The 21,006-nt window shown below is 40.0% G+C and overlaps 1 long non-coding RNA gene, 1 other non-coding gene and 1 pseudogene across 2 annotated transcripts; all 3 read left to right on the forward strand.

The window, feature by feature from the left end:
- Positions 1-4,117: 4,117 nt before the first annotated feature.
- LOC124903175 (uncharacterized) lies at positions 4,118-7,145 on the forward strand. The gene is made up of 4 exons (XR_007063804.1): positions 4,118-4,224; positions 4,704-4,900; positions 6,119-6,182; positions 7,077-7,145. It is a non-coding gene; the product is annotated as an uncharacterized LOC124903175 (long non-coding RNA).
- A 437-nt stretch (positions 7,146-7,582) lies between these two features.
- On the forward strand, positions 7,583-7,661 carry MIR4703 (microRNA 4703). The gene has a single exon (NR_039852.1). It is a non-coding gene; the product is annotated as a microRNA 4703 (primary transcript).
- Positions 20,406-20,503, forward strand: RNU6-65P (RNA, U6 small nuclear 65, pseudogene; annotated as a pseudogene).

A 21,006-nucleotide genomic window follows, 5' to 3' on the forward strand; every position in this document is an offset into this window, starting at 1 on the left:
TATGTACATACTCTTGGATCTAGAAATCCCATGTCTAAGAATTTGTTCTATGGAAATAACCAGCTAAGTGTACACAGATTTATTCACAGGGATGTCCACTGACACACTGTTTATATAAATAAAAAAAGTTAACATTTAAACATACAATATGTTTAAAAGCAAGTTATTGACAAAATAAGTTATGATGTATCCATATTATAAAATATCATGCTTTTTTTTTTTTTTTTTTTTTGAGACAGTGTCTTGCTCTGTCACCCAGGCTGGAGTGCAGTGGTGCAAACATGGCTCACTGCGGTCTCCACTTTTTTCTTTTTTTTTTCTTTTCTTTTTAATTTTTTAATATACTTTAAGTTCTGGGGTACATGTGCAGGTTTGTTACGTAGGTATATATGTGCCATGGTAGTTTGCTGCACCCATCAACCCGTCATCTACATTAGGTATTTCTCCTAATGCTATCTGTCCCCCAACTCCCCACCACCTGACAGGCCCCAGTGTGTGATGTTCCCCACCCTGTGTCCATGTGTTCTCATTGTTCAACTCCCACTTATAAGTGAGAACATGCAGTGTGTGGTTTTCTGTTCTTGTATTAGTTTGCTGAGAATGATGATTTCCATCTTCATCCACGTCCCTGCAAAGGACATAAACTCATCCTTTTTTATGGCTGCATAGTATTCCGTGATGTATATGTGCCACAATTTCTTTATCCAGTCTATCATTAATGGGCATTTGGGTTGGTTCCAAGTCTTTGCTATTGTAAACAGTGCCACAATAAACATACGTGTGCATGTGTCTTTATAGTAGAATGATTTATAATCATTTGGATATATACCCAGTAATGGGATTGCTGGGTCAAATGGTATTTCTGGTTCTAGATCCTGAGGAATCACCACACTGTCTTCCACAATGGTTGAACTAATTTACACTCCCACCAACAGTGTAAAAGCATTCCTATTTCTCCACATCCACTCCAGCATCTGTTGTTTCCTGACTTTTTAATGATTGCCATTCTAACTGGTATGAGATGGTATCTCATTGTGGTTTTGATTTGCATTTCTCTGAAGACCAGTGAAGATGACCATTTTTTTATATGTCTGTTGGCTGCATAAATGTCTTCTTTTGAGAAGTTTCTGTTCATATCCTTTGCCCACTTTTTGATGGAGTTGTTTTTTTCTTGTAAATTTGTTTGAGTTCTTTGTAGGTTCTGATTATTAGCCCTTTGTCAGATGGATAGATTGCAAAATTTTTTTCCCATTCTGTAGGTTGCCTGTTCACTCTGATGATAGTTTCTTTTGCTGTGCAGAAGCTCTTTAGTTTAATTAGATCCCATTTGTCAATTTTGACTTTTGTTGCCATTGCTTTTGGTGTTTTAGTCATGAAGTCTTTGTCCATGCCTATGTCCTGAATGGTATTGCCTAGGTTTTCTTCTAGGGTTTTTGTGGAGTTAGATCTCACGTTTAAGTCTTTAATCCATCTTGTGTTAATTTTTGTATAAGGTGTAAGGAAGGGATCCAGTTTCAGCTTTCTGCATATGGCTAGCCAGTTTTCCCAACATCGTTTATTAAATAGAGAATCCTTTCCTCATTGCCTATTTTTGTGAGGTTTTTCAAAGATCAGATGGTTGTAAATGTGTGATGTTGTTTCTGAGGCCTCTGTTCTGTTCCATTGGTCTATATATCAGTTTTGGTACCGGTACCATGATGTTTTGGTTACTGTAGCCTTGTAGTATAGTTTGAAGTCAGGTAGTGTGATGCCTCCAGCTTTGTTCTTTTTGCTTAGGATTGTCTTGGCTATCTGGGCTCTTTTTTGGTTCCATATGAAATTTAAAGTAGTTTTTCCCAATTCTATGAAGAAAGTCAATGGTAGTTTGATGGGGATAGCACTGAATCTATAAATCACTTTGGGCAGTATGGCCATTTTCACAGTATTGATTCTTTGTGAAAGAAAAATCAATATCCGTGACACTGCAGAGTCTTGCACTATCGCCCAGGCTGGAGTGCAGTGGCATGATCTTGGCTCACTGTAACCTCTGCCTCCTGGGTTCAAGTGATTTTGCTGCCTTAGCCTCCTGAGTAGCTGTGATTACAGGCGCCTGCCACTACGCCCAGCTAATTTTTTGTATTTTTAGTAGAGATGGGGTTTCACCATGTTGGTCAGGCTGTTCTCGAACTCCTGACCTCTTGATTTGCCCGCCTTGGCCTCTCAAAGTGCTGGGATTATAAGTGTGAGCCACCATGTCTGGCCAAGTCTCCATCTTTATGCATCTATTAAATAATACTTTAATGGTGTGCTTGTGGCATGGGCTATATTTATTATGTATTGGTAAGTTAAATTATAACATGAGAAATATAGTTTAAACAATTATAAATTCTATATGCATTATTTTGGCAAAAGTATGAAAGCAAATAAATCACCATAATATGTGGTTTATGAATTATTGATAATTTTTCTTTTTCATTTATCTTATTTACATCTTTCTATAATTATGCAGTAAAAATGACTTTCGGCAGGGTGCAGAGGTTCATGTCTGTAATCCCAGCACTTTGAGAGGCCACGGCAGACAGATCGCTTGAGCTCAGGAGTTCAAGGCCAGCCTGGGCCACATAATGAAACCTTGTGTCTACAAAAATACAAAAAAAAAAAAATTAGCCAGCAGTGGTGGCACACACCTGTAGTCCCACCTATTCAGGAGGCTGAAGTGGGAGAATCACCTGAACATGGGGAGATAGAGGCTGCAGTGAGCCATGATGTGCCACTGCAACTCCAGCCTGAGTGACAGAATGAGAACCTGTCTCAAAAAAAAAAAAAAAAAAAAAACTTTCAGCAGGAACGACAAAATTCAAAGACTGAAAAGGAAATAATGGGGAAATAACCTTAAAAAAATAAGAGAATCCTGAAGACAGATCCTCTTTGTAACTGAATCTCTGCATGTAAGTTAGGCTATGTTGGTGCTATGTAAAAATACTTTGGACTTTGCCAAACACTGAGCTACAGCTACCCAAGCGGCATAAGGGAAAAGTCTGAACATTCTTTGCAAATTCCTACTTCCACAGCACTATTTAAGAATCGAACTAATTTTTATTACATAATTGTAGAAAGATGTAAATAAGATAAATGAAAATAAATCATAAACCACATATCATGGTGATTTATTTACTTCTATACTTTTGCCAAAATAATGTTTTTAGAATTTATAAATTTTTAAACTATATTTTTCATTTTATAATTTAACTTACCAATATATAATAAATATAGTCTATGTCAATAAGCACACCATTAAAATATTATTTAACAGATGCATGAAAGTGGAGACTGCAGTGAGCTGTGTTTACACCACTGCACTCCAGCGTGGGTGATAGAGCAAGGCCCTGTCTCAGAAAAAAAAAAAAAAAAAAAAAGATGCGTGATATTTTATAGTATGGACACATCATAACTTATTTCATCAATAACTTGCTATTAAACATACTGTTAATGTTTTAATGTTATCTTTTTTTAAGTTGTTGTAAAGAATCTCAAAAAGTGAAGCCTGAATAAGTTTTGATGATGGAAACAAATTAGTAGAAACGATCTATGATCTAGGAATTGTTATGTGTATAATAAATCAATTCAAAAACAAAGGCCTATATTTTAGATGCAGCCGCAGAATCCATACTGAGGAATTCTTAAGGAGCTCTGCTGAAGTGGCAAACTCATTTTATTTACTCTTCATTTTTTCCAACTATACCCTGCTTGAAGCTGGGCTCCCTGTTGTTATACATCTTTAAGAAACAAAAATAAATTCTAGCATAATGGGATCAAAACTTGGTAGTCTCTTATGGTAATGAATTCAGAGATCAGTTATAATGAGCAAAGAGACTACTTCCTGCGACAGCCAAAATCATATGGTACCAAACAGACCTAAGATATTTCTCTTCCACGAATGTATGTGTGATATATGCGAAGTGCATACAGCAAGCCCTGGGAGTGTCTGATCATGTATTCTATATTTTGAGCATTATCCACCATGTTTGCTTTTTTTACACTGTGGCTTAACCTACACAAAATGTAGAGAAATCTGTATCATTTGATTATTGATTACTTGAATATGCTGTTAATGAGGTCTTCTTGTGTCTTAGGTTGGGTTTCCCAAGAAGTAGATTCTGAGACAGAGAGTTGTGTGCAGGCGTCTATTGAGAAAACACTTGTGAGGGCATGAGGAAGTAGGACAGCGGCAGAGTTTGGCCTGAGGTGACCTCTTGGGGAGGGGCGCTCAGGAGGTGGGATGACTCATTCAGGTTGTCTGGAACTGAGTCAAGAGGACTGGATCTTTGCATCTCCCACCCCTGTTGTAGCCACCCCCTCACCCCTGTGGATAGGAGACCTTGGGAGAGGCCACTTCCTTCATTGAAGGCAAGTCTTTGGGAGGCCTCAGCTGTAACCTGTCAGCAGCCAACACTCCCTGCACCAGAGAGTATGAGGGTCTCCAGCCTGAAGGGGGTTCTGGGCTGGGTGCTATGCAATGGACCAAATATTTGTGTTCTTCCAAAACGTATATGTTGAAACCCTAATCCTCAATTGATGGTATTTGGAAATGAGGCTTTGAAAGGTAATTAGGTTTAAATGAAGTTATGAAGGTGAAGCCCCTGTGATGAGATTAATGCCCTTATAAAAGGAGGAGACAAAAGCACTCTCTCTCTCTTTCTCTCTCTCTGCACTCGTGCACCAAGGAAAGGCCTTGTGAGGACATAACCAGGAAGAGAGTCCTCACCAGAACCTGACCATACCTGCACCCTGATCTCAAGCTTCCAGCTTCCAGAACCATGAGAAATCAATGTTTGTTGTTTTAGCCACCCAGTCTACAGAAATTTGTTATAGCCACCCTAGCTGACTACCACATTGGACATCACAGCAAACACTACAACCAGTAAGTCTCTGCTTGTATTAACTGGAACATTTCCAAAGCCTGTCCTACTCAGGATAAATGCACAAAAGAAAAATTAGTAGTTGACGGCAGAATTCTTAAGAGAGCAGTTTTGCATTTTTTACCAAGTAATACTTATTTAACTTCTAGGGCAGTAAAGTAAGAGAAATTGTTACTCTCCACCTCCTGCCATCATGAATTTAGGAAATGTAGAAAGTTATTCTGTTAATAAAGATGTGAACTTGCTGTTGAAGAGAAAATGTTTCTGTTATATCTGTTTCCCTGTGTTTTTGCCACTGCAAGATTCTATCCTGTAATTTATAAAGCACAGAAGTTTATTTTTCACAATTCCAGAGGCTGAGAAGTCCAAAATCAAGGCTCTGGTGGGTTTGGTGTCTGGTAATGCAGAAGTTGCTGCATCTTCTGAAGGGAAGGACAAGAGGGCCAAAGGCTAAGTGAAGCCTCTTTTATGAGTTCCTTAATTCCATTCTTGAGGGAGGAGACTATAGACTAATCATCTTTTAAAGGCACCAACTCTTAATGCCATCACGAGCCATTATGTTTCAACACCCAAATTTTGGAGGGGACACACTCAAACTATAGCAGTCCTTTTGCATTTTGTTCAGGATATCAAAAAGGCCACTTACATTTTATAGTAAATAGTGAAAAAGCTTGCATTCAAGCTTTATCTTGAAAAATGCAATACAAACTGTGAAATCATATTTATTATACTTCATATGTAACAAAATGTAAGCTATAATGACATCTACATACTTCCTGTTAGAACTAAGAATAAATGGATTGGAATTTGGGGATGTAATTTTTCCAATGAAATTTTAAAATAGCCCAAATGACATTCTCCACTTTATATTTTATTTGTACAGCATGATAGTGAAGATGGACATTTTGACAAAAACGTTCAAGGATTTTATGAACTTTTCCCAGGGCCTCTCAATCCTTTAATTTTGAACTCATTATTTTTGGAAACATCTCTGCTGTCATTATCCTCCTTGATGTTTCTCTAGTTGTAGATATGTTCACTTCGACACCTAACAGGCATGCCAGTATTAAAAATGTGTCCAAAACAGAACCCTCGATTCTGTTTTCCTTGCATTTTCTTCCCACCTTCACTCTATCTTCTCTTCTCCTCCAGTTGCTCAAGACAAATATCTAGGAATTATTCTTTATTTCTTTTTTTCTCTCATACACTATATCCACCAGCAAGTCCAGTTGGCTCCACAAGCTTGAGCTCACCATTTCTCACCAGCTCCACCGCTACCTCCAAGTAAGTGCCAACCACCTTCAGCCATTGCCTGAACTACTTTAGTGGCTTCCTAAATCGGCTCCAGCTTCTACTCTATTTCCCTACAATCCACTCTCCATAGAGCTGCCAGAGTGATTTTTAAATGGATTTGTTTGTATTAAGTACTACATTGACAAGGTTCAAAATTTAACACACTATAAAAAGAGATGTTCAGAGAAGTCTTGCGTTCACTCCTGCACTTCTCACCCCAACCCTCCGATGATATCCCTTCCACCCATATATTTTTAAAATCCTCCTAGGGTTTTTAAGGCAAATACAAGCATATTCAAATATATTTTCTCCCACCTTACTGCACAAAAGATAGCCTACCATATACACTGTTCTACATCTTGCTTTCTTTCCCTTGCCATATGTCCTAAAGCTCTTTCCATATGTATCACTACATAGAGAGCTTCCTTATTTGTTTTGACAGCTGCATGTCATACCATTGTTTATTTAACCAGGCCCCTTTTGTTGAATATGGGAGTCAGATCCATTTTTTGCTCTTACAAATAATACAACAATAAATAACCTGATACATGTGTTGTTTCTACAAGTGGATATGCCTCTATGACATAGAATCACAGAAATACGATTGCTAGATTATATATTTTAGTGTATTTGCCAATTTCAAAATGAAAATTTTAGAGGTGAATCTGATGACAGTTCTCCTGCTTAAAAGACAATCAGGATGAAAACCATTAATGAAACCCATAAGGCCCTCCCTAATTTGGCCCTTGTCTAACTCTTCAATACTGAAACTATGCCCAAAAGAGTTAAAGAAACCAATGACTAACAAATTCTTGAGTTTGCAGAATGACAGATTAAAAAAAAAAAAACACCTACTGAAAGGCTGAAATGCCCTCTGCTTATCAGATAAAAGAAATGGCTGAAATCCTTTGGAACCAATATGACCAACTGGAGTCGGTGCAGAAGGAGCTTGCTGACAACGCAGCCTGAATTTCCACCCTATGTTTCATACCAACTCCCCCTGAATTTGCACATGTGATACATGAGATAGCATGAAGAGATAACTGAGCATGCCCAAGGACTTTCCAGACTTCTGCTTTCCTTCCACCAATCACCTGCTAATCTCAGAATCCACCCCCTGAAACTTTTCTAATAAAAATACTGTTTTGAAGGCAGCACAGGGAGACAGATTTGAGCTTGACTTCTGTCTCCTTGGGATTGACTTTCAGTACAAAGCTTTTCTTTTCTCAAGAACATGGTGTCATAGTATGGGCTTCTAGTGCATTGGACAGTGAGCCCCTTTTACTCGATAACAATATCAGCTATATTTTTCTCCCTCTTTCACTGTGGACTAAGCATTCAGCTTCCTCTTATTAATCCCATAAAATCCTATACCATTTGCGAGATTTGCTTTATGCATATTAGCAATACAGTACAAATATAGTGTGTTTGATTTGCACTGTAGTTGTATTGTATTGCCACTCTGTATAAAAATCCAATCATCAGCTAGATACCTACCTAACAAAAAAGTTGCTCCTAGAAGGAAGGAAGCAAAGCTAATGTTTAGTGGATATGACTGAGTGGCTTTTATAAGCAGTCATTTGATAAATAAACGTTTCTAGGTTATGATGACTTTTAGTCTCCTATACTGCTTCAGACTTCAGGGACTCAGATAATGAATGCTGAGATAATGTGGATGTTTTATCATTCTGTAGCATGGTGATCAGGGATTCCAGAAACATAAAGGTAAAGTTCTAACCTTATAAAGAAACGACATGGTCAGTGAAAGAGCACTGGGCTGGAAATTACAAGTCCCAGGTCCCAATGCAGAATCTGCCACTAAGTAAGCTGTGAGGGCTTAGGCAAGCCATTTCACTTTTCTCTGGCTCATTTTATTTGCATGAAAAGAAAGAAAAAGGAATTCATTGTGATTCTGAACCTTTTCACTCCCCAAGGATCCCCTTTATTCCTCCCCCCATTTTCATATGTTGAGAAATTGTGTCTACTAAAATATATTCATTAGTAGTTTGTTCATGTTCTCATGTTCATTGTTTATTATTAATATAGTCATGTTCATTGTTAATTTATCAAAAATATATATATATAATTTCCAATTCAGCTTAGCATTACAAAATTGATTGACATTGATTGAGTTGATGTAATACCCTCCAAAGCAAAGAAACCAGATTAATTTGTCTGGGTGGTTAATCTTAATTCCTAAGAGTTAAGAGGCTGCAGGTTGGGACTGTCTGCATCCAGTTGACTATAAGTTTTTTGTTTTGTTTTGTTTTTACAAGTCTGAGAGTCAATGCTATTTATATTTGTATTTCTATTCAGTCCAGTGCTTGGACAAATGGTACCTCAGAGGGTCCTGTGGGTTCAGCAAAGCAGCTCAGGAGCAGAAATGGGGGTGGGAAAAGAGGAGTCTTAGGGCCCCAAAACCTATTTCATCTACAGCAGCCTCACTTTTTTCTGCTTTAAATGCTAGATTCTGCTTAAGATTTTCTTTTTCTTTTCCTTTTTTTTTGAGACAGAGTCTTGCTCAATTGCCTAGGCTGGAGTGCAGTGATGCTATCTTGGCTCACTACAACTTCCCCTTCTTGGGTTCAAGTGATTCTCCTGCCTCAGTCTCCCGATTAGCTGGGATTACAGATGTGTGCCACCACCCCCAGCTGATTTTTGTATTTTTAATAGAGACAGGTTTTCACAATGTTAGCCAGGCTGATCTCGAACTCCTGGCCTCAAGTGATGTGCCTGCCTCAGCCTCCCAGAGTGCTGGGATTACAGGCGTGAGCCACCACACCTGGCCTTAAGATTTGCTTTGAAGAAAGCGTTTAAACCATAAAAATAATTTGAAAAATATGACTTAATCAAACTCAATTATATAGATGAGAATAATGAGGCATAGAAAAATTAAATGAAACTGGCCCAAGGTTATAGAGCTAATTAATGGCAAAATACTCATTCAGTCAATCAACAAATATTTATTGAACACTGTAGAAATAAAAATTGTAAAGCTAAAGCTTTGATTTGTTCTTAGTTTAAAAACAATCTGTGAGTCACTGTATTGGATTAGAAGCATTAGGATGAAAGAATCTTGTTTTCATAAATTGGTGGAGAACTGACATTATCGTGTATGTTACTATTGTTCAATAAGACAAGGAAGAGAGGGCAGGGGCATATTAGCATTCAGGTGACCACAGGAGGTTGGGGACAGGTCAGGTTTGGTAAAGGGCTTGTTTCAATTTAAATCTATGGTGGCTCAGGCTCTGATTGTCATACTAGTGCTCTCATTAATGTGCACAGGGAAGGAGCCAAGAACCCCACTTGACCCAAGATTAACATTAAGGTTTTGTTTCATTTCCCAGATTAAATATGTGATTAGCACCAAACCTGGAAAAACCCGTGGCTATAGGATATGTGTAATTTAATCTATAAAATGTATTTGTAAAAGCCAATTCATTGTACATGTTCAACTTAATAAGTTCACTGGCATTATGATAACTTATCCATGACTGGGTATTGCATATGCTCTCCAGTTAGTCCAAAAGTTATAGCCCTTCTGATTCTAACTTTCTCTTTACAAACTATTTGCAATAAAGCTCATCTTTAGCAGATTCAAATCCAAATATAACACAAAGCTTTGTTCTTGGCCAGCACCAGTCAAGAGCCAGCCCTTCTAGGCATGGAGGATACAGCAATGAACATGTTGGGAGAGTTTGCTGTTTCTATGAACTAGCCTTGGGTCTCTTGCTTTCTGGTCCAATTCTGTTTCCAACACAGCATGCAAGGTTGAAGACGCATTCTACTCTTCTGCAAATACTTGTCGTTACAGCTTATGCTTATATCTTCACATTATTTATTCATTTATTCAACAAATATTTGTTGAATAGCTTCTATTACCAGACTATACTAAGTGCTGGGCATCTTGATATGAATTAGCTCTCAAGGTGCTCACAGACTTATGAGAATATAGACTCGTACACAAATTTTAAACCAGCATAGTGAGTACAACAGTGGGAGGAGAACAAGGTTCAGTCATAATACACAGCAGCAACTGATTAACTCCCTCTGGCATGATATCCACACTTGAATTTGAAGGATTACTAGAGGTTTCCTGGGCAAACCAATGATAGTGGGAGTGGGAATGGCATATGGAAAGCTACACAGGCAAGAGAGAACATGGCTCATTCTGAGAACCACACCCTGGTTTGAAGGAATATACAGTACAAGGTGGCAGGCAATTGATGGGAGGCAGGCAATTGATGGAATTTCAATCTAATGGCCTCTGTTTTCTCTGTGAGATGAGAGTGACAGGATGTTTTGAAATGTAGGCAAAAGCTGGGTAGGAAACTTGGAGGGAGGTTTAAAAGGACTGCTGAATTGTTTGTAAAACAGAAAGGATTGGGAAAAACCTAAAGGCCTATCAAAAGGGAACTGGCTTAACAGATTACAGTCCACCCATGCAATGGAATACCACACAGCCAGGAAAAAAGATATGTATTGATATATATTGATATGGGAAGATCTGTAAGACATAAATTTTTTAGTGAAAAAAGAAAGTGCAGAACTATGTGTTCCTTTATGTTTTATGTAAAAGAAAAAAAATTTCCTAATATGCATAAAATGTCTCTGGAAGAATGCAGCAGTAAGTCACAGTGTTGTTGCCCATGGGTAGAGAATCTGGATGGCCAGGAGAGAATGGTTGAGAGAGTTGACGTTGTACACTTCTGAATTTTTTAATCATAGGACTGTATTATTTATTCAAAATGAATGAAAAAAATATCTAAAATCCATTTGGTAAAATAAAAAAGAATAATTTCTGAGGTCAATGGAAAATAAAATTACTAAATTTTGTCCTAATGGCTATGTTCCTCTAGAACCTTGTGCTTAAGGCTAACTTGGGAAAATATGAAGGAAATATTTCTTTTCATTAGGAGTTTCTGTTTGGGAAAGGTGACTTGGTTGAGTCATGGGGATGAGAGCTGGAGAGAGATTTACAGAGAAACCTAACCAAGGTTGCTGACTTGGCCCCTCATAGCAGCCTCCCCAGCCAGGGTCTCTTCAGCATCCTAGCAAAGCTGCTTTGGTTACATCAAAGCGGCACCTTAAAAAGGATTTAAAATACTTTACTGCACCTATTGGTGCAAAATCCTGTTGGTACTGAGTTAAAACCAAACTCTGCCCTTTAGGAGCTGGGTAGTGGAATGGACACTAATTATTGCTTGACACATTAACAAATAAAAACCAAGACTGACTTTTGTGTGTGAATTGTTGAATCAGATTCATTATCTTATAGTCATACCCTTTTATCTCTAACTAAATACAGAAATAAATATTCTGGGTGTTTGACAAGGAGCCTGTGAAGTATTGTCTCTGTGCCAGGTGATGTTAGGCATTGGCAACACAAGGACGACTAAACCATTGTCCTTAGTGTCTGGGACCGTATAAAGAAAGATACAAAGAGAAAATTAGAATAAAATGTGACCTCTCAGAGAGGCGTGAAGAGAATTCTGTGGGAACCCCGAAGAGGGAGGGAGTAGCTCTACTTGGAAGGAGTGAGGAAGGGCTTCATTGAGGAGAAAATATGTAAACCGAGTCTTAAATGGGGAGTCGAAGTTGAGGGAGGATGATTGGGACATTCCAAGCAAAGAGAATCCAGTGTGCTAAAACAACACAGCTCAAAATAACACAGTGTGTTCACGGGACACCGTGCAGCTGGCTCTGACTCCAGCATCAGGTGCCTTTCAGGGAGTGGTAAGAACTGAGGCTGGACAGGCAGGTTGGGACAGGGTTATGAAGTACCTCAAGGGCCTGGCTAACAAGTTTAGGCTTTGTCATGTCGGCAAATCACTATGTTCTCAATCAATGCGCTGAGAGATGGATTCCTTTGCCATTGCTCTCTAGCCTCTTTTCAAGCAGGCGTCCTTCTGTCAGCTTCCATATTCTTGTTAAAGGCAGAACCATAATACGGAAGGCAGGTTTGCGGACTTGGTGTTACCTTTTCCATTCTTCTTTTGTATTCTTCTTTCACATCTAATTAGTTCTCAGAGTCTGTGACTCTTCTGTCACAAGCTCTTTCTTTTTTCTTAGCTCCACCATTTAGTAACCATGGCAGGTACAGGGCTAAGCGCTTTATATGAGCCATCTTATTCAATCCCCAAAGCAACACAGTGAGGTTGTATTCCAGTCAAGGTTCTTGGTGGCAAGCAGCAGGTAACTCAAGCAGAAAAGGAACTTACTGGAAGTATATCAGGCAACCCACAGCATACATAGGAAGGTGAAGCACTGGGAGCCAAGGGAAGAAGTGGAGCACAGAGTTAAGGTTCTACCTCTGCAACAATTTCCCAGGACATGTTCTGCCATGCGTCTGAACTCTCATGCCAACCACAGCAGCCTTGAAAATCTCAAACTGACCACAGTGCCTTTGCATCACTACCCCTAAGTACAGAGAGATGTGTGTGCACTAACTGGCCCTGCTCAGAGCATGTGTCTATGCCCTAGCTGCCAGAGGGAGGCAGAGAAAGTTTCCCCTTTGTGGCTTCCCACTTACATTGAAATTCACTCAAGTCAGGAAGAATTTTCAGATACCGGACAGCAAAAATGACAAACTTCTACTATCGTACTATTATTTCCTGCATTTTGTGGATGATGGGATAGACTTAGAGCAGGTAGGTTGGTTACCCAATTACCCAAGTAACACAGTTAGTCAGTAGTCGAGCCAGGATTGAAGCCCAAGTCAGTTTATCTGAAAAGCCCACACTGTTATGCAATCAGCTGCATTGCCTGCTCTAAACCATTCCAGCTTTATTTCACAGCCCACACACGAGTCCAGGCTCCCCGCACCTCGTTTGCATTACTGCCTCCTCCCTGGTCTTCCTGCTTTGTGTTCCCTCATCTCAGTTCGTCCTCTACTCAATTGCTAAGATAATATTTTTCGAGTACTAACTACATTGTGTCAGCCTCTTGTTCAAAAAACTTGTGACTCACCCCTTCAAGAGCCTGCCCTGACTAATATCATTCCACACTGATCACTCCCTCCGTAATCAGTCAAATAATGCTGCTGTGCCATCACAAATGTATAATTCATACTATACTATCTTGTACTTATTAATAGTCTCTAGTCATTACATTTATATGTGACTTCGCTGAGGGCATGGAACCTGTCTTCTGCTGCCTTTGTGACTTTAACGACAGATACTAGCATCTAACACAGTGTGTGTCTTCTCATCTTGTAATCCCAGGACCTTCCAGAATATGTGCATTATGCTCATCAGTGTTATTCTTTGCTGAGCACTTCTCATTTGCTAATTCATTATTAGCTTCCCTGAAGTTGCCCAATTGCTTTCTATGTTTCTTTGCCACATGTACTGTGCCCTACCAAGAATAAGCATATTTAAAAATTATTGCTAATGATGATAGTTTTATTTCGTCTTTTGTAAATGTTTAACTGTATGATAGTGTAAGTTGAGGAACGGTTAAAGTGGTATGTTTTTCTCAGAACTGTGAGGGGAAAGGAAATAGTATTTGGGCATCCTTGCTCCCTTCCTTCTGATTAGGAATGATAAAGGGATCCTAAGCATGGAGCGTAACATGCAATTAGGTCATCTGGCTGGCCGGGTTACCAGCTTGAGGTTCCTATTGAGAAGCTTCTTGCCTGGTTCCTACCTTCAAAGGGCAGAGGTCATCTTTAGCAACTAGTAATGCCCTGCACCCTCAAAGACTTTTAGATTCCTCCAAATCCAGACCAAGAGAGCCAAGACCAGAGACAGAGACACAAGCCACTTCACCTTCCATCTGCCTGTGCCCCTGTCTCCAGATACTTCTTCTGAGGACCTGTCTCTTTTTCGGGTTTATGATGTCAGATAAGGTCACACCTACACACAAAGCACACAACTTGGTGATCAATATTTAAATTATGAGTCAGAATTCAGAAAACCCGAATTTATCCAAAGGATATTCACATGTGCTCTGGGCATTTCATAGGTGCCAAAAGTAAAGAGAAATAAGAGTTTCTGCCCTCAAGGAGTTAAGCTTCTATCTGGGAAGACAAATCCATTAAACAAATAATTGATGAACAATGGGAAAAAACAACAAATTAATTCTGTACTGGGTATAAGAATGGCACATGGAAGGGTGTGATCTATTGTATTTGGATGAGATCCCAAAACGCTTTACAGAGGATGAGATGCTTGAGCTGGGGTTGAGGGAAGAATAAGAGTTATCTAGACAGTGGGGAAGAGCATTCCAGGAAGAGGGCAGGGACATGTACTGCAGAATAAAATAATTAGGCTGGGCGCAGTGGCTCACGCCTGTAATCCCAGCACTTTGGGAGGCAGAGGCGGGTGGATCATGAGGTCAGGAGATCAAGACCATTCTGGCCAACATGGTGAAACCCCGTCTCTACTAAGAATACAGAAATTAGCTGGGCATGGTGGCGCACACCTGTAGTCCCAGCTACTCGGGAGGCTGAGGCAGGGAATTGCTTGAACCCAGGAGGCAGAGGTTGCACAAAGCCAAGATCGTGCCACCGTCCTCCAGCCTGGCAACAGACTCTGTCTCAAAATAAATAAATAAATAAATACATAAAATAAAAATAAAAATAAAAATAATTGTAAGTAGTTTGGATTCTGAAGATGTTTATCCAGCATCCATTCTTTCCTTCCCTCAAAATTTCCCAGCCATGGAATTGAGGCTGCAATTATATAATTGATCTCATGCCCAGCTCCAGGGATGGGCCTTGATTGTCCTTAGCCAGTCCACATAATCCACTTCCTTGCCACAGTTGGTTCTCAGACAGACATGTCCTCCAGGCCTAAGCAAATTCACCCTGGTATTGCTCAGGCATATTAGTGTAGGGCTGGATATGTGTAACCAGAAAGAAGCCCAGAACTTTGGTTTGATAGTTGGGGGAAGAGATGCACTCACAGTTATTGGACATAGAAGAGGAAGAGGAAGCACATAAACGTGAGCTGTGAGCTGTGGGTTTCTATTTTCTTACCCTATGAGAAGCCAACCAGAAGACAAGGGAATTGCAGAGAAATGGAGCCAATGACCTAATCAAACTCTGATTAAGTGGTTGCTGGTCTCCCCTTCATTGTTTAAAAGATCAGATGAATGACTTGCAACTAAAATCACTGAATTTAGGGCTTGGTGGAGTAGAAGGTAGGAAATGAGATTGTAGAAGGAGGCATGCTTGGGCCAGATGATAACTGTAGGCTCCATTCTAGAGACATGGTAAGCTCTCAAAGCTTTTAGGCCATGGTAGGGAGTAACATGATTTGATGTCAGTTTTAGGAAGATTATTCCAGCAGCAATAAGAAGGGTGACTTGGAGGGAGCAAGTCTGGGGACAGCAAGACTACTGTGAAAACAAAGCCACATTTCCACTTCCTTCATCATGTCACTCAAGGTGCTAGTTATAGTTCCTTTTTACCAACCTCAAAAGGGAACCATCTTTTAAAAACTACTTAATTCATGGACAAATGTTATAGGATATAAGTTCTTTAGAATCTTATGCCCTGGAAGGAAAGATGCATGTTTTAGAAGCCCATGGAATTTTTCCAGAATTTAATGTAGGAGATCAAAGTTTGGGTTATACTAATTGGGCTATCAATTATATCTTGGTCTCTTTCTGTTTCTGCTTAGGACTTCCAGTTTATTCTATACTGCATCCGAGCTCTTTTTATTTATTTGTGGATGCCGTCTTTTTTTCTCATTGTTTTAGAGTTTTTTGTTTGTTGGTTTTAGCCCTTTTTCCCTAGAGACAGAATGGCAGTTGGAGGGAAAGAATAACATTAGGTCCTTTGGCACAAAAGCCCTTTTCCCTAGGTGTGTGCTGCTCTTGAGGGAAATTAATCTGATCCCAACCAATTTAACTCAAGGGAAGGCATCTTTGATAACAAACATTTGCCCTGATCTCTTTGGCTTCCAGTATTAACTGCCGAGTAAATTCTATTGGATAGGAGAAATATGGGTATGTGACTCTTCTCTGCTCCATTTCACTGGAAACTGCTGTGCAAAGCTAGTAAGAGTCAATCAGTCTTTCTACTGACTTGTCATTACTGAGCTCCCTTTTCGTGCCTTGCACAGTGCTTGATTCTTGGGGCAGTACAACAGGAGAGGAAAGGTGAGTCTTTTCTTAGAAAGGGCTTACAAGATGGAGTGTGAGTTTGGGAAATGCTTTTCCTAAAACCATGTCTGTGAGACCTAAGCATACACAACAACAGCTGGTTCATCTATAGAATGGTTATACTGTGTTAACCCTTGATGCTTATAAAAAGTTTTTTAACGTGTCATCAGATATATCCAAGGAATTTCAGATGTCATTCTGCCAGGACTCCTCCAGTGACCACATTAGAATTTTGGTCATTAACCATTGACCTTTAATCACAGTCCTTGAGGATAAAGATGATCTCATTCTTTGTTAACAGAATCATTTATCTTCCTCATGTGTATAATTTTAGGGGTATATTAAACCAAAAGCAGGCACTAGATGGAAACTATGTTATCCCCAAAAGTTCTAGAAAGATACAAATTGTCCATTCCTTTGTAAAGCAACTTTAGTTATACATGAGAGTTTGGGACAGACTCTTCCAAATGAGTAAATCATTTTGCCTAAATGGCAATATATCTCATATCTCATTGTGCCCCCCATTTTGCTATTTCATATGGCAATCTTCATTCTCCATAGATCTCATTTAATTCCTTTACACATTCTGTTAAACATTATTTGATGCAGAAGACTCATAGCAGATCTGACCACACAGTTATGCTCTAGAACTTTGACACAAACATGGCCTTTAATTTTAAAGCAAATGCTTGTCATGCTAACTCCTCTTTTCTACTTGCTCATTGTGCCCTAGAGCCAGTGGCCCTCTAATGATAAACTCAGCATGTGAGCCACGTTGAGCTCTGCCCTTGACTGTACAAGAGAGTTAATTATATCGAGCACCCAGCTCACTCCCTGGCACGAGGCAGGCTCTGAACAAATATTTTCTGGAAGAATGAATGATTTCAGACCCTCGAATGACAAACTGAGGAAGAGCTGAGGTTTTCATTCGTGGTTTCAGTTAATATTTTTTGAGAGAAACCTTGTTCTAAGAATAGCAGACCCAATTCCTCTTAACCAGATGCACTTGGGATTCCCCTGCTCTCGGTCTCCTAAGGAACAGACCTCACCAGCCACAGTCCTTGTCTCTGACTTTAGCCCAGTTCAGGACTAGTGTATGGGTGGGTCTGTGGTGGCATGGAAGTTATTAGTAAAGAGAAAGCAAAGAAGGAACAGAAACATAAGCTCCCTTCCTTCCGTCTTTTTGTCACTATTTTACTCTATCACCACTTCCCTAGATTGGTTCCCACTCCCACTTCATCCTACCTTACTCTCCTCGTTCCTCTGCAGAAAATTCCAGGAGAGCAGGTTTTCCTCTGAAATTTAGATAAACCTCTCATTCACTGCTGGTGGGAATGCACAATGGTACAGCCACTTTGGACGCAGTTTGGCAGTTCCTTATAAAACTAAACATACTCTTACCTATGGTCCAGCAATCACACTCCTTGGTATTTACCCAAATGAGTAGAAAACATACGTCCACCACACAAAGACCTGTATACAGATGTTTAGAGTGGCTTGATTCATAGATGCCAAAATTTGGAAGCAACCAAGATGTCCTTCAATAGATGAATGGATAAATAAACTATGGTACGTCCAGGCGATGGAATATTATTCAGTGCTAAAAATAAATGAGCCATCAAGCCATGAAAAACATGGAGGAAGCTTAAATCCATATTACTAAGTGAAAGAAGCAAATCTGAAAAGGCTCTATATGGTGTGATTTCAACTGTATGGAATTCTGGAAGAGGCAAAACTATGGAGACAATTAAAAAAAAAATCTGACTGGGCATGGTGGCTCACACCTGTAATCCCAACACTTTGGGAGGCCAAGACAGGAGGATTGCTTGAGCCCAAAAATTCGAAACCAACCTTGGCAATATAGCAAAAACCCCATTTCTATTAAAAAATAAAAATAAAAACAGAAAAAGATAAAAAGAAAAATAATCAGTGATTGCCAGAGGTTGTGGAGAGAAGGGGGTGAATAGATGGAACACAGAGGATTTTTAGGACAGTGAAACTACTCTGTATGATACTACAGTGGTGAATACATGTCATTATACACTTGTCCAAACCCATAGAATGTACAAAACCAAGAGTGGATCTTAATGTAAACTACAAACTTTGGATGATAATGGTTCATTGATTAACAAATGTACCACTGTGGTGGGGGGGGTGTTGACAGTGTGCTTGGGGAGTGTGCAGGAGGTGGCACATGGCAACTCTGCACTTTCTGCTGTGAACCTAAATCTGTTCTTAAAATATAAAGTCCATTAAAAAGGATAGATAAGCCTTAATTTAGCCCTTTATGTATAGGAAAACCTATTGTTAGCACACACTTGCCTAGTTTAAAGAGGAGTGGAGAAGACTGGAAAGGTGGAGAAAGTGTAGAGGGAAGCCTTGCAAAAACCTTAGGCGGCTTCCAACACAGGTGAGTAGGGGGAAAGCTGCAGCCTGTGTTGTGTTACTCCTTGGTCTATGGAAAAGAGAAACTTACTGCCAATAGTGGAAAGGCAAGTAGGCTGGCTGGTCCCTCATACTGGGAAATAAAAGGAAATAAGAGATGTATCCCGTGGTTGGAGGCCTTGCCCTCCATATTGCTGGTCATTCTTCCTGCACACTTCCACTGGATTCCCAGGTCCACAGTTTCCACATTAGACGAAGCATGGAGATGAAGCCATTTGCATTAGAATAATCTGGAAATACTTTATAAAAATTCAGGTTCTCAGGCCAAGCTCCTGCAAAACCAAATTCAGTCATTTGGGAGAGGGTCCAGGAGTCTGTATTTTCAAAAACTTCCCAGGAATTCTGGTGTGCAGCCAGGCATCAGAACCACAAAATCTTATTGCTGAAGGAGTTACATGCCTGCTGCCAGCGAACCAGGAAAGGAAGAGGAAGACAAACTGGAAGATGTTTATCTGATCTTCCTGGTTGTAACTAAAAGACATTCTTCTAGAGAAGCATTATTCATCATGATAGTTAAATGCCAAGTGACCGTAGGTTTTATACCATAAGGATTTTGTGAGCACATCTGAGAACTACCAGTGCATAATTAAGTCAGCAAGAACATTCACTTGAGTTCATTCTAAACACCTGACTTAAAAATGAAGGTGGAAGTTATCCGTAACTCTCTAGTCTCAGAATTTTGATCGTTGGAAGGTTGGGCCTTCCACAGCAAGATGGCCTGGCCTTGACCTGTGACTCAGTTCTGATTATTAGATTTCTTCCTTGTTTTGTGACATTCTCTCTACTCCCTTTCTTCTGTCTGTCCTCCCTATGGTTCCCTTCCAACTCTTTCTCATATTTCTCCTCTTCCCTTGGAGTAGCTATTTGTAGCTATTTGCCAACACTGGATTTATTCCCTCCAATGAATGTTCATATTTATTCTTCACAACTCTGTAAGATTGGTGTTGTGATTATCCACATGCTACAGATGAAGAAAGGGCAGGGTTCCAATTGATTAAGTGATTTGCTACAGGACACCCTATTAAGTGGTTGTACTCCTACTTTGTTCCTAATTCTGACACCTAAGATCATGCCTAGGTCTCCTGCTCAGAACACAAGTTCCTTGAGCCCCAGGGCCCTGCATTGATTTCCTAAGCTACCATCACAGATTTGAATCTTGCCCTTGATCCTAGCCTGGAGGTTGGTGCACAGTCTGCTGACTGACTGCCTAACTGGGTCTCAGAACACTGTCTGCTCCTAGATTCCTCTTGCTTTGTGTGGTTTCATCTGATGAAGCCAGGAGCCCCAGATCCCAGCCCAGCCTTCTGTTGCCAGTTCGGGTTGCTGAGGATGTGCCAGAAAAATGCATGCTCTCTACCAGTAGCAAGGGCCTTTGACTCTGCTATGGGACTTCTTTTCTCCAGCCTCACTCCATTTCTTAATTGGCCTTCCAAGGCTGAGTAGTCAATCCAACAGAAATTACCTTAGTTCAGCTATTGAGAATAATCCCTTTAATCCTCCCCCGACCAAAAAGCTCCAACCACGACCAGAGCTGCGGCCCCACTTTCTGTTTCCTAGACTAGAGTTGTCCAAACTGTGGCCCATGTAATGTGACTCAGGTCTGTGAAAACTTGTCAAGTGGTACACCGAAAAGCTTCATTTTAAGAATATCCGTTTCCAGTGCTCGCTTCGGCGGCACATATTCTAAAATTGGGATGACAGAAAATTAGCATGGCCTCTGGGCAGAAAAATAAATACAAGTAAATATAAATCTGTTTCCAGAGTTTTAATTTTTTTATTTCTATTTTTTTAGATGGAGTTTCTCTCTGTCACCCAGGCTGGAGTGAAGTGGCGTGATCTCAGCTCACTGCAACCTCCACCCCCGGGGTTCAAGTGATTCTCCTGCCTCAGCCTCCCGGTAGCTGGGATTACAGGCACCCACCTCTACGTCTGGCTAATTTTTGTATTTTTACTAAAGAGAGACAGGGTTTCACCATGTTGGCCAGGCTGGTCTCGAACTCCTGACCTCAGGTGATCCACCCAACTCGGCCTCCCAAAGTGCTGGGATTACAGGCCTGAGCCACTGGGCCCTTCCAGATCTTTAATTTTTATAGGTACTTTTTCCTAACACCAGTTTGCCTGAGGATGTGCTAACATTCACATCAGACATTCTCCCAATTTCATAGCCTTTATCTATCCTAGAATGTGCTGTGATGCAGTGCCTTGGGTAATAGAAAAAAAACCTCTTGGGCAACAACAACAAATACCAAAATATTGATTT

Source organism: Homo sapiens, chromosome 13 (assembly GCF_000001405.40).
Source record: "Homo sapiens chromosome 13, GRCh38.p14 Primary Assembly".
NCBI lineage: Eukaryota > Metazoa > Chordata > Mammalia > Primates > Hominidae > Homo > Homo sapiens.